Genomic DNA, 16,674 nt, shown 5'->3' with positions numbered 1-16,674 from the left:
CCATGATAGGTTGTTTCCTGTAAAAAATAAAACAATAAAGTTAAATAGTTTTGATTTGTTGGGGGCATAAGAGTCCTGAATGAATTTTTCCATTTTTTCTAATTTTTCCAAAATTCAGTTGTAACATAAGCATGAATATTTTTAAAAGAATTCCAGGATGAATCTTTTTAGGGAGAAAAACCATAATGCACAAAGCAGTTTGTCCAGTTTCCTTTTCATCTTTTCTTGGAGGGGTATTTTTCCACATAAGAAAGGGAACAGAGGAAGGAGGTGGGGCTTAGGGCAGTAGGATATAATTAGCTATAACATTTGATGATTTGAGTTTGAGTTTGTGGTTCTGGGGGGATAAACACACGGACCTATCTCAGTGGGGCTGGGGTGATCTGAAGGCCTACAGCATTTAAAGAGGGCAAGATGTCAAATTGCAGATACAGATCTTGGTTGATCTGTGTGGAGGGCACAGCTGGTGCAGGAAGGGCTGGGGAGCAGGGAATATGAAGGCACAGATAAACTCAGGCTATCCAAGAGTTGGGAATGGTAGAGGGAGGAGTATGGTTTTGGTTTTGAAGGATTCCCTTTGGCCTGTGCCCTTCATTGCCTGGGGCAAATTTAGAAGCACACAAGCTGTTTAAGTTACATTCTATTAACCTTTCCCCAGCGGCTGTATTTGCCTCGTCTGATCCCGCACCATGCTACACACATTTTCTAATCGTTTTACTGTTTCACTGATTGCAGAATTAGAAGCATCCACTGTCTGGTAAAAGTAGGTCAGGGAAGTTCCTGACTTCGCTATGTTACTAATAGATTTCTGAATGGTAGCGTATGGGCGCCTTAATGTGACATTTGAGCGGAAGAACAATGGTGATCACTCACTGACGATTTTGTGCTTGAATCGTTCTTTTCTCCAACATGAACACATGTTGGGGAGGTCCCCGAGATTACAGGTGCCAGTGAAAAGTAAATGAGGCACTGATATGTTCATTTGAAAGCAAATCAGTGCTTTTATCTGGGCCTGATCTCTCTAGGCCTCCCTCTTCTTGTGGCTCTCTGCCATTGCCTTTCTCATCACAACTCTCCTCCCTGAGCCACCACCATAAAAACCTTTTCTGTAACCCCTGCCATATGAAATAGTATTACATACGCGACCTCTTTCCATCAACCCACCGCCTTCCCCTCCTGTAAGCTACCTTGGAATCCCACCTCTCTTCTCTTACCCTGCCTTCTCCTCAACCTCCTTTTTCCTCCTGTTGGGTGTTTTATTCTCTTCCCATATGATCCAAGCTTAAGGATACTGTGGGCCTCACAGAATCCATAGAAAATGAAACTGCATTGCCTTATAATCAACTACGAAATCCTTAGGTTGTCCCCAGGAAAAAAGTAAAGCGAGTCAAATTATAAAGACCTAGACGTTGTCAAATTCACCACATGGGCATTGCTATTGTCAAGTAATGATTTAGATAGGCACGCTGTGTGTATCTCGCTTGCTGTCTTCTTTAAAAAAAAAAACGAATCATTTTTGCTTAAACTACTTCTTCCTTCTAGCTCCAGACTATGGTGATCATAATTATGTCCGACCAAAACATATTGCTTGTGTGTGTTCATGTTTAATTGGAAAAATGACAACAGTGATTTCTTTGAAGTCTCATACTCACCCAGAGCTACCCTGCCAGTGGGTGTTCTAGTATCCAGAATTTCTTAGAGGAGGAGGAAGAATAAATCACCATAAAATGATACAATAAAGTCTTTTAAAATAACAACCAGGTAGTAAATTAACATATACACGACCTTTGAAATGATTATGTATGGGGAAGTTGAATCCAGCAAACAGCTGGCTGGGTGCCTGCCTTTGACTAATAGGCTGAGAGATACAGCTGCTAGAAAGATATTTGAGAGTAAGCCCTAAATGCAGAAATCTTTTATTAAAAAAAAAATCAGCTTCCTCATTTGACAAACTCTAATTTCATTGGGATTGACAGCATTGCCTTTGTCGAGCATACATTTAACAAATGAGATTGAACAACCACCCCACTCAGTTTTATCTAATTTAATTTGACAGCCAAAGCAGGTAGGTAGAATAATGTACTTACAGAGGAGGTAAGAATGTTTTCCCCAGGGTTAAATGACATGCCTGACATGGCTTGCTGGATCAAGCTCAAAGCAAGTATCTCCCCCATTGCTTTTGTATTTTTGTTTTGTTTTACTTTTTAAATTGAGGTATAAAGTAAGTAAAGCGAGTTCATCTTAAATATACAAGTTGATAAATTTTTGCCTATGTGTACGTTCATATAACCACCACCCAAATCAAGACATAGAACATTTCCATCCCTGCAAAACATTCACTTCCCAATCATTATTTTTCTCTTCTTCTGGCTCAAGGTAACCACTACTCTGACTTCTAACAGCAAAGATCAGTTTTGTTTGCTTTTGAACTTCAGTTTTGTTTTGTTTCTGAGACAGAGTCTCACTCTGTCACCCAGGCTGGAGTGCAGTGGCATGATCTCAGCTTACTGCAACCTTCACCTCCCGGGTTCAAGTGATTCTCCTGCCTGAGCGTCCTGAGTAGCTGGGATTACAGGCGCACACCACCATGGCTGGCTAATTTTTGAATTTTTAGTAGCGACAGGGTTTCACCACATTGGCCAGCCTGGTCTCGAACTCCTGGCCTCAAGTGATCTGCCTGCCTCAGCCTCCCATAGTGCTGAGATTACAGGCCTGAGCCACCATGCCCAGCCCGAAATTCATATGAAGTGTATCAGACAGTATGTACTTCTGTGTCTGGTTTCTTTTACGCAGTGTAAATATTCAAGATTCATCCATGTTGTTGCATTGTATCAGTAATTCATTCTGTTATTGCTCTGTAATATTCCATTATATGAATATAAGACTGTTTATGTATTATTGATGGACATTTGGGTTGGGTTGTTTTTGGCTTTTCCCTTGCCTTCAGTTTTATGTTTTCTGGATAGTCTATAGAAGGGCATCCTAGAAATAAGCAAGAATGATGTGCCCGTGGGTGAACTTGTTTCCAACTGGTGGCAAAATCCACTCACCACTGCATAAACAAGCGTTCTGGATCCTGAGTGGCAAGACTGTCTTGGGTTATCTTTCCCTTAAGACTCAAGTGAGCTTCATGTTCCCTTATCACATCCCCAGCATAATTGTGGGGTAAGGAGGGACCTCAGCGCCTAGCCTCCATTAACCCTAATATGGGAGAAAAGAAGGTGAGCTTTAGAAACCGACAGGCAGGGGGACCTGGGGTGGGTTTGCAGGTGGCCAGGAAAGGAGAGCAGCAGTTTTTCATCTGGAGTGCACAGGTATCTGGCATCACGCCCACCTTTGGGCAGACTCAGGGACACAGCTTAAATTGGGGCATCTCTCCTGATCATTCTGACACCTGCCCATTTTCTGAATCTGGGAAATAAAGTAACCATTATTGCCTCTCATAAAGAAGCTGACCAGGCAGTGTGGCTAAGGTAGTCATTTGTCGTTGGGCAGAAACTGGGCACAAAGGGATGTCACCTTAGAAGGCTGCCCCCTCCCTCCAGCTGATGGGTGAGGCGAGCAGCTGTATGTACAGGTGCGACAGGGTTGGGAACTACTGGGAGGCGAGGGTGGGTCTGCAACCTGGATCTGGTGGTGCAGAAACGAAAAGAGATCAGTTGTTTAAACCTTCCCGGTTTGCCTGGGACTGCCCTGGTTTAAGTGCTGAAAGTTCCAGGGCCTGGGAAGCCCCTCAGTCCTGGGCAAACCAGGACAATTGGTCACCCTACAAGAGGGAGCCCTTTTCACTCTGTTATCAGTGCATTTCAGTTAATAAATATTATTAGCCTTCTATTACAGACCATGCACCTTGCAAGGTTTGGGGGATAGATTGGTAACAACAAGACAGTGGTGATCTCTGCCCCTCCTTCTGGAGTACTTCCTATAGCAAGAAAGGTAGGATTTAAACAAGTGATTACAATACAGTGCAATGCTTGCTTTGATTAGAGACAATAAGGCAATGAGTGCTTTAATTGGGAAAATTCTGGAAGCTCTGGAAGCAGGTGGGAAAGACAATCCACTACAAGTTCATGATTTCCTTAGCATATCCACAAAGTTCTAGGGCTGCTCAGAAAAGCCATTTGCAGCAAACTCTGATGCACTCATAACAGCTATCAACAAAGAGGGTGGAGGATGATAAGGAAATAGACAGATTTAGGTCTATTGATGTAATCCCTTTGTGCTGCTTACATTCCCAACACGTAGCCACATTTCTTCTCCCACTTCGACAGTCCTTACTGGCTGGTGCAAAACATTCAGTGTGTAGTGAACAGGAGTCCTTGGCATTGTCCGTGCCCATAAATTCAGAGTGACAAGCATGCCTTGGAAAACCTTCTTCAAGTTTTCAGATCATGTAGATAAAATGGGGAGAGGGGTGAAGATGATGTTCTGGGGTTAATAATTCAGTATGTTTGTAAACAGGGCTCCAGGGTGGAAAACTTAGTGCCAGATTTTCTGCGTGTTGTTTTACAACAGAACAGCATGTACTTGTAAGTATCTAAAACTAATGGACATGTACTCTTGCCTAAGAGGCCCAGTTATTGTTTTTTGTTTTTTGTTTTTTTAAAAAAAAGCTTTTTAATGTACTAGAAATATATGGCAGCTGTTGTAAGAGCTGAAAGGCCCGCCCAATGCAGGTTGACAGATGTCCATATATCCATATTATATATTAAAAATACCCCCTGAATATTTTACTTTCTACCAGCTATCACACAGATCCAATAAAACAAAACAAATCTCCCAGAACTGAAGCCCTTATCTCCATGGAAAAGTCCAAACATTTATTCCAGTATCAGAGACACAGCCAAACAAGATGTGTCTCGAATTTTAGAGTCCCTTTCTTGCCTTCCTCAGCCCAGAGGGTGCCAGTGATGTTTGTGTAAGGTATGTCCTTTTATGGATGTTTGTAGAAAAGATGAGGATGGATGGTTTTTCTAGAGGATAGTTCTCATTGTTTTCATCATGTGTTAGAAATAGCACAGATACATTGGGTCAATTTCTTTTTCTTCTTTCTCTACCTTTATCATCATTCAATTAAAACAAAGATACTCACAAACTATTATTTTTCTATCATATGGGAATCAATGCCCAACTTACCTGTTCTGAGTACTGACCCTTTGGAGGTTCCCAACTATTATGCAGCTTTTTCTAGCCTAGCTTGTGACAGGTTGTGGAGGTATAACACCCCCCCACACACACCCCAGATGACCTCTGAGCTTTCCTTTGCAAGGAAGCAATAATGGAGACTTATCCATGAGGGATGAAGTGCCTCTTCCCTTCACAGTTTGACCATGCCTTCCTTTGTAGCTTGTTCAGCTCGGCTTGTCCTGATTTATGTTTTTTTGCCATCTGGTTTATTTCTCTTGTTGTTTTGTATTGTTTTAAGTGTGCTCCAGGCCATCTTTAACTGAGTCTTTAAAAAAAAAAACAACAACAAAAAAAAAACAAATCATAGGAGTGTCATTTGAAGGTTAGGGATGAAAGAGAAGTTTAAAATGGGACTCTGATCTTCCCTGCAAAGTCCAGTAGCTAAAAATAAAGTTCCTTTTACTTTGCTGATTATGTAATAGAACACGTTCTCAGATGTGAATGCTATGGAATGTCACAGTTGTTCAGAGAATATTTTTTTGGGTTTTCCTAAATGGAGGTGCAAGAGTTCTCTCAAATAATTGAATTCATTCAGTTAGCTGTTGAGGACCTACTGTGTGCAAGCCACTTTGCTAGACACTATTGTGGACCACTTTGTGATGCTGATGAGCTGTAACCAGAGGCAGTACTTGCCTTTCCTTTGGTCTAACCTCAGTTTTCATTCTATTACACCATATAACTCTTTCTAAAGAAAAAATGATGTGCGAGGGAAGTGGAGAGGGAGTTATTTTGCAAAAGGAAAGGATAGAGTTGGGCAAGGGCAGTGTTTGTTTGAAAAGGGGAAGGTTCTCTCTGGGTACTGGGTGCTGTCTGTGTTCTGGGAAGCCATGAAATATCAGTGACCTGGATAACTATGTTTAAACCATGTTCTTATTAAAACCAGCAGTCCTGGCTTACCCAGACAAAGAAATTCTGAAACAATTTTGGAAATACATTCACAAGAGTGGAATTCATAAATGGAACTGTACAGCCATCAGCTGCACTGTTTAGACATAAAGTTGGATGAGCAAAGGGGGAATTTTACAAGTATGGATTCAAAGCTTTTAAATGAACTTGCCTAATTGGTAGTAGTGATGTAGAGCATCTTGCTGGAAGGAAAACAAATCTCATATCTAAAAATGTTCTCTTAGATGTAAAAGCAAATGCAGCCTCAAACAATGCTTGCGAAACATCTTGGTTAAGGATTTTGGAAGAGATTTAAGGATCATGGGTTGTTGCCTGGCACTTGGTGAACTGCTCCACACAATTTAGAAACCCTGTCAAGAGGTTCCTAAATCCAGCTGACCTTAGAATCACCTGGGGAGAGTTTAGAACTTGTACATTTCTGGACCCCATTAGATGCATGAGGTTGGGCTCTTGGGAGTCAGATGGAGAATCTGTGAGCTCAGAGGGATCCCCAGGTGATTTCAATCATTAGCCCTGTTTTGAGAACTGCTAGCCTAATCCATTTCTCTGGACAGCATCCTATCCACACCATTACAGACCTTTTTTTTTTTTTTTTTTTTTTCCATACAGATGGCCATGAAATCACATCTCAGCACATGCCTTTGACTCTGGATTGCACATGTATTCATTAGCTGAAGCCCAATTTTAAAATCCAATCAACTCTATGATTCCTTGAAATGACTGCAAATCAAGTCACATCCAGTGCTCCTCAGGTTTATTTTTGTTCATTATTATTCTACTGAGTGCTCAGGACATTCTACTGCTCCTGAGTTGGTGAGCTAGAGGCATAAATAGCTTTTGGATCCCTCGGGTGTCGAGATGGTTAAAAGGATAAATGGTGATAAGTGAATAAAAGGGTGAACATTGGCAAGTGAACAAACAAAAATTTGATAAGGCTCTACTCTAAGCCACATGCAGTGTGAGGCCCTTGACGGCCTCCCCCACCAACCCTCCCAGTATCTTTATGGGGGTGTCTCAAACCCCGTTTTACACATGGGAAAAGCGGAGTGATAATCCCAGGCCACAGAGCTCAGGGACAGAGCCAGCAATCAAGCCTGGGCCTTCTGGGTTTACCATACCACGTAATTCCCCCACTCGCTCCCATCCTAAATCTGATCCTGAGTTTTCTTCATTTTATCATCCATAAAGAGCATTCTAAATTCTCTTGTGCTCTGCCCTGGGGTCCAGCTTGGGCTCATCAAGGTCCGCTTACTTCTCCAGAGATCCCCATAATCTATTTGGAGGAGTAGCACAGTTCTACTCTGATTTGGCATGTTTTAGAGGAATCAAAGGTAGGGCCATTCATTTTTGAATTATACATAGGTTTCCCTTCATCTCTAGAATGTAATTAGGCAAAAGGGCTTGAGGAATACCAAATGCCAAGCCAAGAGCATTAAGAAGCTGCCAAAGGAAGCGGGTATTAGCAACCTCTGTTATGTGCCATGTGGGCCAGAGCTGTTCTTAGCTTCTCGGCAGGAGGGAGAGGCTGTGGTTCCAGGAATCAGGAGAGAGAGGGAGGCAAGCAGGAAGGTCTTTGCCTCTTCCCTGCAGATTTTGTAGTGGAGCAGCTGGCATTTCTCGGTGATTCACAGATGGGCCTGCCTTTGATGGCCTTACCACCTTTCTTATTAATTTTCTGATAGGTAGTCTCTGGACCAAGACCAGGGTGACCCACCCGTAGCACTACTACCATTTGGGACCAGATTATTTTGTGCTGCGGGGGCCTGTCCCATGGCTTGTAGGATGTTTAGCAGCATCCATGACCTCTACCCACTCAGTACCAGTAGAACCTCCCCACCTCCCACAAGTTAGGGACAACCAAAAATGTCCCTATACATTGCCAAATGTCCTCTTGGCAACAGGGACAGAATTGTACCAGGTTTAGAATTGCTGGCCTAGAACTATAGTAGAAACATGAAGGGAAAAAGAGATCTCCTGCAGGGGTAGGGATACTGGGTTGGAAATGGACCCCCAAGCTTCAACCTCCCCACCTTCCCTCAGCCTGCAGAGGTGGCACCAAAAAGTGGTATATGAAGTATGTGAGACTTAACCCAGCGATCTCTTAAAGGGTAAATACCCACTTGCCCCATTCACCCTTTTCCCATGCTGCCATCCCACCCACCTGTTCTTGGTACATGGTGCTGGTGCTGTGGCAGTAGACACTCTTGATAGCTTGGGCTGGTGGTTAAGAGCATAGATTCTGGAGCCAAGGCTACAATAAGTTCACGTTCCAGCTCTGCAACTGAGTAGCAAGTTCCCTGTTCTTTGCATGCCTCAGTTTCTGCATCTTTAAAGTAGTAATAATAACAGCATCTCTCTTTTGGGGGTGTTTGTGAGGCTTGAATATTTGTAAACATTTAGAAGAGTACCTGGCACTGTGTATACACAGTAAGCACTGTGTATAAAAGTGTATTGTAAATAAAACATAAATAGTATTGTGAAGAAGTTCTGTTAAATACAGCCACTCAACAAATGTTTATTGGTTGTCGAACAAGGCCCCACCCCTACCCTCCTGGAACTCAGAGTTTGGTTATGGGCCAACAGTAACTTGGGCGGGGTTCTGAGCCATGATTCTGTGTGGCCTGCAAGGGGATCACAGAGTTTACTCCCTCCCTCTCTGCACTAAGGGCTGCTGTAGAAGCAGAGCCCACTGCCCTGGCCATGCTCTTCTATGTAGTCTCAAAGTCAAGTTCTCCATATCCCAGTGGGCAGGCCATCTGGCCTTAGCTCCCCAATGCAGTGCCTCTTACTCATCATAAGTCAAATGCTGCTTTACTCTGCATCAACTGAACATTCCATGTGACAATGACTCAACTCTCTATATCTTCAGCTGTAGCCAAAATAAATGGAATCTATGCATTAGTTTGTTTTCACATTGCTATAAAGAACTACTCGAGACTGGGTAATTTATAAAGGAAAGAGATTTCATTGACTCACAGTTCCACATGACTGGGGAGGTCTCAGGAAACTTACAATTATGGTGGAAGGCAAGGGGGAAGCAAGGCACATCTTACATGGCAGGAAAGAGAGAGCATGAGGGGGGAAGTGTCACAATTTTAAACCATCAGATCTTGTGAGAACTCACTCACTATCACGGAAACCAGCCCCGTGACCCAAGCACTTCCCACCAGGTCCCTCCCTTGACATGTGGGGATTACAATTCTAAATGAGATTTGGGTGGGGACACAGAGCCAAACCATATCAATTCACTATTCAATATTTGGTAGCACCTCTGTAATGAATTTGAGGTATATCAGTCTTTGGACACACTAGTTGGGAACATTGTCCTCCCTCCTTCACTCTCTTGCTCCCTCCCTCCCTTCCTTCCTCCCTCCAAATAAATATTCATTGAGCATTGTCTATGAACCAGGTATTATTCTGGGTGCTGGGTGAGGTCTCTGCTCCTAGAGACCCAACATTCCAGGTTAAGTAGAAGAGACAGACTATAAACAGAAAACAAAGGAAAAAAAAAGATAGCTTGCAAATGTGATAGGTGCTGAAGGAAAGACACACCGAGACTGATATGAGAGAGGAAAACTGGGATGGAGGTGGTGACTGTTCCAAATGGTCATAGAACCTTCTCTATCTAAGAAGGCTGTTCTGATTTGAGACTTAGCTGAGAAGGAACCAGTTGTGAGAAGGGCATTCCAAGCCAAGGAAATGGCCAGTACAAAGGCCCTGAGGCAGGAAAGAGTTTGGTACCTTCTTGGAATGGGTTAAAGTGGGGCCAGATCAGATAGGGCTTTGTAGGGCTTGGCTTTTATTTTAAAGTACAATGAGATGCCTTGGAGAGTTTTATGCAGACAAATAAAACTATTTGATTTATGTTTTAAAAGAAGGAGGGAATAGTCACTGTGTCAAACACTGCTGAGATGAGTAAGATGAGGGCCAAGAGAATCTCTCAGTGGATCTGGCCACATGGAGGTCAACGTGACCTCTGTGGAGAAGTAGAGGGCAGCTGTTCTCTTTGCCTTTTGGTTTTAGAACATATGGTTTCACCAAGGAATAGGCACTTGTATTTGAAGGGATCAATAATTCAATAACATTTCTTAATACTGCTTTGGTCAGTTTTCAGGGAATTACTTGGTTTTATTCTTTCTTCAGTAAGACTTACTGTAATGGTCACAATGATGTTTGTAGTGGTGATGTCATCCTTGGTATCTAAGACATCACTACCTGCCCACCATCAACCCCCTTGATGATTTCCCAGTGTGGGACAGTACCAGCCCAGCCACACATGCACAGCCCCTGGAACTCTGTGACATTCATGACCCATGTTCATTGCAGAATGGCTGGCTGAGGCCAAGGGCTGCCTGTGACTCAGGAGAACTATCTAGGCCCTTTATAAATGGGCCAGGCAGGGCACAGAGGGTTGACCTCAGCCTTCTCAGTGCCATGTTCTCATGGTTGTCCCCTATGTGGCTTTTCACTTCCAAAGTCCATCCAGCCCCTTAACCTTGCCTGAACTTTTAAGCCCAAGAATGGCAGAAAATCCCTCAGAATAAATCCTTAAAGAGGCATTTGACAGAGCATATAGAAACTTACACTTGGTAAAAAGTGACCATAGAAAAAATCTGTTTAGCACAAGCTTAAATATTACTGTGCTTTTTATGCGGTCTCCCGCAGCATTTTGGAACCGGGCCATTTTTCCTGAGTGATCGTTTCCTTTGATTTTTTTCCCCCCACTGCTTTGATTTTGTAACACAAGAATAATATTTTTTCTGGACCAAATTTCTTATAAGTGGTCTTGCCCAGGGAATGATGATTCTATTTTCTCTTAAGTACCAAGAAGTACATACACATACAAGCACATTTAATAGCTTCAGATGGGATGGTTTGACTGTCAAAGGCATATTTGCAAAATTCTGTTCCTGTTGATTCCAGCCCCTGATTCAAAGCCCCACCATTATAATGCTGTTGCAGACACAGTGGAGAAAGCCCTTCATCACCTGCACGGTAGATGCAGGCTGTTCTTCCTCTCTTGAGGAGCAAGCCCTGAGTCTTGATGAATGGATTCCCTCTAATGTGTAATGCCTTCAAGATGGACTCAAAGGTAAATCCATCCCATTTGCAGAAAGGGAAGGTTCCTAACTTCCCCAAGTTAATAACCATCTGCAGTGTTGGACAAGGCTTCAAATTGCTGACACCTTTGTTCATACCAGCTGGCAAGATTGGGTCACATAATTAACCACACAGGGGCACATTTTGCAGTTAACTCATCCTAGGGGGGCTGCTCTGCTCAAAATCAGACATTGGACTCTGCCTTACTGTGATTTTTTTTAAAGGCCTAACTGACTGGCTGGCAGGACTTTCCTGTCAGCTTTCTCCTACCTAGAAGAGTCTCTTTCATGCTTAGGCCACTGAATTCTGGAGTCTGCACTGAGTTCTTAACTGAAAGTCTGTGCAAATCCCAAATCCTAATGAAAGAAAAAGGTATGGTCCTTGTCTGAGGGTGCCCCTCTCTCGCCTCCCCGTGGAAATGGGATTGCAAGAGCACCATTGCCCTAGAGTGTCTACTCTTCACTTCTATAGCCCTTGGATCTCCCTTTAATCAGCGCTGCAGGCACTTGGGAGAAAATCCAGCTAGGGCCTGCATTTCCTTGAGGTGATTCCAAAAAGTAGATTTTCTAGGTCAGTGGATATGAATGATTTTAAATTGCCCTCTAGAAAGTTTTTAACCAATTTACTTCCTTATTTGCAGACATTTGCTATGCAGCTGTATTCGTTTGTTTCTTCGTTCGTTCATTCATTCGTTTATCTATTTATTCATCTATTCATTCACTTATTGATTCAGCACCAAGACTGTATACCAGGCACTGTGGACCTGTAAACAAATATTAATTGATTCCTGCCCTGGGTGGGGCTTGGTGGGTTTTCTCTTTGTCTCTTTGAAGAGAATTGAGATTGTGTCTGGGCCTCCTGAAGACTGGCCAGGATAAGCTATCCATTTACGTAGTGGTGAACGGGGATCCAGACTTGGGAGGAGGGTTGCTCACCCCTGGCTGCACATCAGAACCACCTGGGGAGCTCTAAACAAATCCTGATGCCCAGGCCCAACCATGGATGATTTTGATTTCACTGGCCTTGGGTGTGGCCTGGGAATCTGGGTCGTTCAAACGAGATTTGGTGGGTTCAGGGTGGTATGGCTGTAGACTTATCTGGGTCTTTCAAAGCTACCTGATCAAAGTCTCTTGTGCAGCTAGAGTTGATTGTCCCTCTCCACCCTTTATCCTAGAGAGTCTAGCCTGATGAAAATCCTGCATCAGGTCCCCACCACCTCTGCTCTTGACCTTACACTTGTCACTTTAGACTTGATGATAGTTACTGTTCCACCGCACATCTTGCCTACTGTGGGCCATGGGAGGCCAGCACCATGCCAGGCTTATGTTTGAATAGACTGACCATTGCCATGGAAAAGCTGCTGAGAAGAAAAACCATCCCTCTTTTCATCTTATGTATTGTTTATTTATAGTTTCAAATATAATCCTCGCCTTATTTATTTAGGATTCCACAGTGAAGCTCATTTGGCTCCCTATCTTTTGTTATAATAACAATAGCTAACCCCTACTGAGTATTTACCATGTGCCAGGAACTGTTTCAAGCATCTTGCACATGTGAACTCACCTACCCTTCTTAACAACCCTGCGGCATATACACTGTCATCACTCCCATTTTACAGATGAGGAAACTGAGGCATAGAGAGGCTAAAGGAGTTTGTCAGTGTTCACACAGCCAGTCAGTGGCTGAGTTGGGCATCTACATCTCATTTCATTTAAGTGAGGCCTCTTCTTTACAAGTCGGAAGGACTTCTCTTGGATTTATTATGCCTTTGCATTGTATTTTCTTTCTCAAAACAGAACTTCAGGGGACGAGTGAGTGTACACCTATGAGATCTATCAGCATCCCTATGCTCTCACAGTGGCAGAGTGGCTTAGGACAGAGAGCTTAGGAAGAGAATCATTCAACAGCTTGAGTCACTTTCGTTGCATCCATTGGACCAAGTTGTCTTGATCTTGTGGAGACATAAGTAACTAAAAGTAGACGGTTCTTACCTGTGCCAAGGGCAGGCAGGACCCTCTGCAGTTAGCACTCTCACATCTGCATACTTTTAGAATTGTCCTCATAAGAAAAAGGAGAGACTGAGAAAAGCCTAGCCATGATTCAGAAACAGCCTGAATTCATCTGTCTTTGAAAGTACCTAGAACTTCTCCTCTGCTCATTCTTCTGGGAGAAATCAGAGGCTCTCGGAAGTCAGTAATTGTGATCTCTTGAGTCATAATTTCTGCAGTTGTATCAGAGCCTAATGTGGGGATGCAAGATGGAAACAGCACATGGGGCTGTTGCCATAGACGAGGCAGAGAGTGGAGGGGCTGAAATCTCCTGGAAGGAAGGGATTAGCTGCCCAAAGAAGAAAACAGATTTGAGAAATCCATTTACCCTGAAGGTTTAATAGGGAATGCAGGTCAGACTTACTCAAATGTCTTTAGTCACGGGTCTCTCTCCTGTTTTTATCTTGTACCCAGCTCAGAGTTTCAAAAGAGAGGGGGTAAGTGAACCTTTAAACCCCGACGTTAATATTTACATCCACAATATTAGGAATAAGAATTCTTGTCATCTATTGAACTGAAGGAATGGTATTAAAATAAATGTAAAATTATTAATCGTATATTTCTCAGTTATTAAGACAAACTCTTGCTTGTGCTTGTATGATCATAACACCCAACTCAGATTTCTAAGAATGTCACTAGCATGTGTTTGGTTTTTCTCTAGAGAATTAATATTGCCTATGATAAGAAAATAATTTGGAAATATTCACATGGATTTTTGACATGGCCCTAAGGAATTAGCCATTAAAGAATTTCAGAATCCTAATTAGTCTTCAAATAATCTTTTGCATGGTAAAGATCTTCTGCTTGGAAGAACACTATTTCAATATACTGTTTGTCACTTCATTACCTGAAAGCTGCTTGGAGGCATTTTGTGGAATGAAAATCATTTGAGGGCCCAGAGGGTCAACACAAAGGTGCACAGAGCCTTGAATTCTAACCGTAACCCTGCCCCTACCTAGATGCGTGGCCTAGGCCAAGTCACCTTTTCTGAGCCTTTGTTTCCCCAGCTACAAAATGAGTTGTACTAGTCTTTGTAAAAATGGAAATTAGAAAGCCATATGTCATCTATCCCCTGCCTTTCTTTCCTACCACTCTGAAATTTGTTAGCTCCTCTCCTCCCCTTCTCCAACCTCTCTCTCTCGCGGTCTCTCTCTCTCTCTCTTACACACACACACAAACACACACACACACCTCCTTAGAGTGCTGGAATGTCATTTTGCCATGATGCCATGGTGTCTCCTTTCCTTTTTCAGATCTTTGCTCAACAAGAGGCCTTCCCTGATCACCCTCTTCAAAGCAGGCCCTTCCCCACACCCTGCTCCCTGTCACTCTCAGTCCACTTACTCTGATTGACTTTCTTCTTAGTGCCTAGCACCATCAGAAAGTATAAGAAGACAACATGGTGCTGGCACAGGGGTGGACAGAGGGACTGATGAAATAGACTGGAAAGTCCAGCGACAGACCTACATGTTGTTGAGTCGGGGGACAGTTCACACGTTTATTTTATTATTTTAAATTGGATAATATTAAAAAGAAACAATTTTTAGAATAAAACCAAAAAAGTGGACCATGTATAGAACATTGTCATGATCCAAGGATAATGATTATGCAAATTCGGTACACTTCGGATCCAAAAATTAAAAAGAAAAAAAGAATGCTAATTTAAGGTTGGGCACAGTGGCTCACGCCTATAGTCCCAGCTACTTGGGAGGCTAAGGTGGGAGGATTTCTTGAGCCTAGGAGTTGGAGGCTACAGTGAGCTATGATTGCCCCACTGCCCTCCAGCCTGGGTGACAGAGTCAGACCCTGTCTCTAAATGTCTCTATTTTTTTTTTTTTTTACAAAAGAATGCTGATTTGGCTGGAGAGGATTCCTTCTTCAGCTGAGAGGTTGGCATAGACAATCTGCAAAGACCCTTGGAGCCCAAATATGATTCTGTGTTCAGCATTCACTAGGCTTCAGGCAGTTTCTACTTTGCCAGTAGTAGGTGTCATTTTCCCCATTTTGCAGGCAAGGAAACTGCAGCTCAGAGAGGCCGAGTCACTTTCCCAAGGCCACACAGTTCTTAAGAGGTCAGAACCAGGATATGTGTGCAGGCTTGACTCACAAGCTCATTCCTGTGCCATAGAGCACAAGCTTCTGCTGGCTATTTGAAGGTGTATGGGTGTGACTTTGGCCAGCCTCTTACTAGGGAAATAGAATATTCCTCTCCAGCATGCAAAATAGGAGGCCTTTGCCTTTAAGGAACTTCTGACTTTCCACTTCAGTCGGAGCTTTTATGGGTGCCGCATCCCAGAGACCCACAGAGGAGGTCTCAGTAGCAGCACTTTGAAGTCTCTCCCACAGGGCCCCCTCAGTTGAGCACAATTGTTGTCCAAAGACCAACACATTTTGGCTCTTGCTTGCCTTAATACTCCCTCTCCGTTCCCAAATACAAAAACATTGGCATTTCTTGGAAAGTGGTTTTGGCTCAAAGCCTGCTATCTATCCCACACTCTCAAGCCAGCTTCCTCAGGGCCCCTGTTGCTTTATTTCATTGAGTGTTTGTGTTTGGGGGCTGATGTTGCTGCCTCCTTTGTAAGGGGCCTCCTGGCAGGTGCCCAGAGAAGTGTCCTCACCAGCTAACCAACAGTCTTCACTGCAGCTCCCCTCTCCACACTGGGCTCAGTAGTGGTGAAAACCCACAATGCACACATGCAGAACCACTGAGGGTTTTTCTCCTTTCTGTGGTTATTCAATAGTATTTTTAATATCTCTTTTCTTGAATCAAGGGATAATTAACCTAAATTCATAAGTGGTCAGATGGATACATTTTGTACACACCTTTGTAACCACCTGAAAGAGGCTATAAAACAGTCTTGTCACCCCAGAAAAGGCCCTTCAGGCTCCTTTCCAATTCATTCCCTCTCCTCCCTCCCTGGAGCAACCACTTTCTGATTTCTAGCATTGTAAGTATTTTTGCCTGTTTTTCGACTTTGCGTCAATGAAATCTTACAGCATGTGCACTTTTGTATCTGGCTTCCTTCCTTCAACATGGTGGTTTTGAGATGCAATTGTGCCATTACCTGTAGCAGCAGTGCATTGCTTTTTATTGCTGAGTAGTATTCCACAGTTTGGGTGTGGCATTTACCTGTTGACCAACATTTAGGTTGCTTCCATTTTGTGGTTCTCATGAATAGGACTGCAATGAACATCTGAGTACAAGTCTTTTATGAATATAGGTTTTCATTTCTTTTGGGAGAATACCCAGGAGTGGAATGGCTGACAACAGGGCAGGTAGTTACTGAACTTTTCTAGAAGGTGTGAGACAGTTCTCCAAAGTGGTGGTGCCATTGACCAGTGGTGGACAATCGTTTCACTTGCACCATAGCCTCACCAACTTTTGGTGTTTCTAGTCTTTTAAATGTTTAGCTGTTGTAATGGATGAGATATG

The 16,674-nt window shown here is 43.1% G+C and overlaps 1 protein-coding gene across 11 annotated transcripts in view; it reads left to right on the top strand.

Moving 5' to 3' along the window:
• Window positions 1-16,674, top strand: part of RAI2 (retinoic acid induced 2) — a 61,250-nt gene that overhangs the window by 25,327 nt on the left and 19,249 nt on the right. For 4 of the 11 annotated variants that reach the window (XM_006724460.2, XM_006724459.3, XM_011545441.3 and 1 more), the window contains one exon: window positions 6,703-6,845. The exons of the other annotated variants lie outside the window; for them this stretch is intronic. The gene's annotated coding sequence lies outside the window, so the exon portion shown is untranslated. The remainder of the gene's footprint in view (window positions 1-6,702; window positions 6,846-16,674) is intronic. 11 annotated transcript variants of the gene reach the window in all.

The sequence above is a fragment of the Homo sapiens genome, chromosome X (assembly GCF_000001405.40).
Source record: "Homo sapiens chromosome X, GRCh38.p14 Primary Assembly".
Lineage (NCBI taxonomy): Eukaryota > Metazoa > Chordata > Mammalia > Primates > Hominidae > Homo > Homo sapiens.
This window is presented reverse-complemented; position numbering and strand designations above follow the sequence as displayed.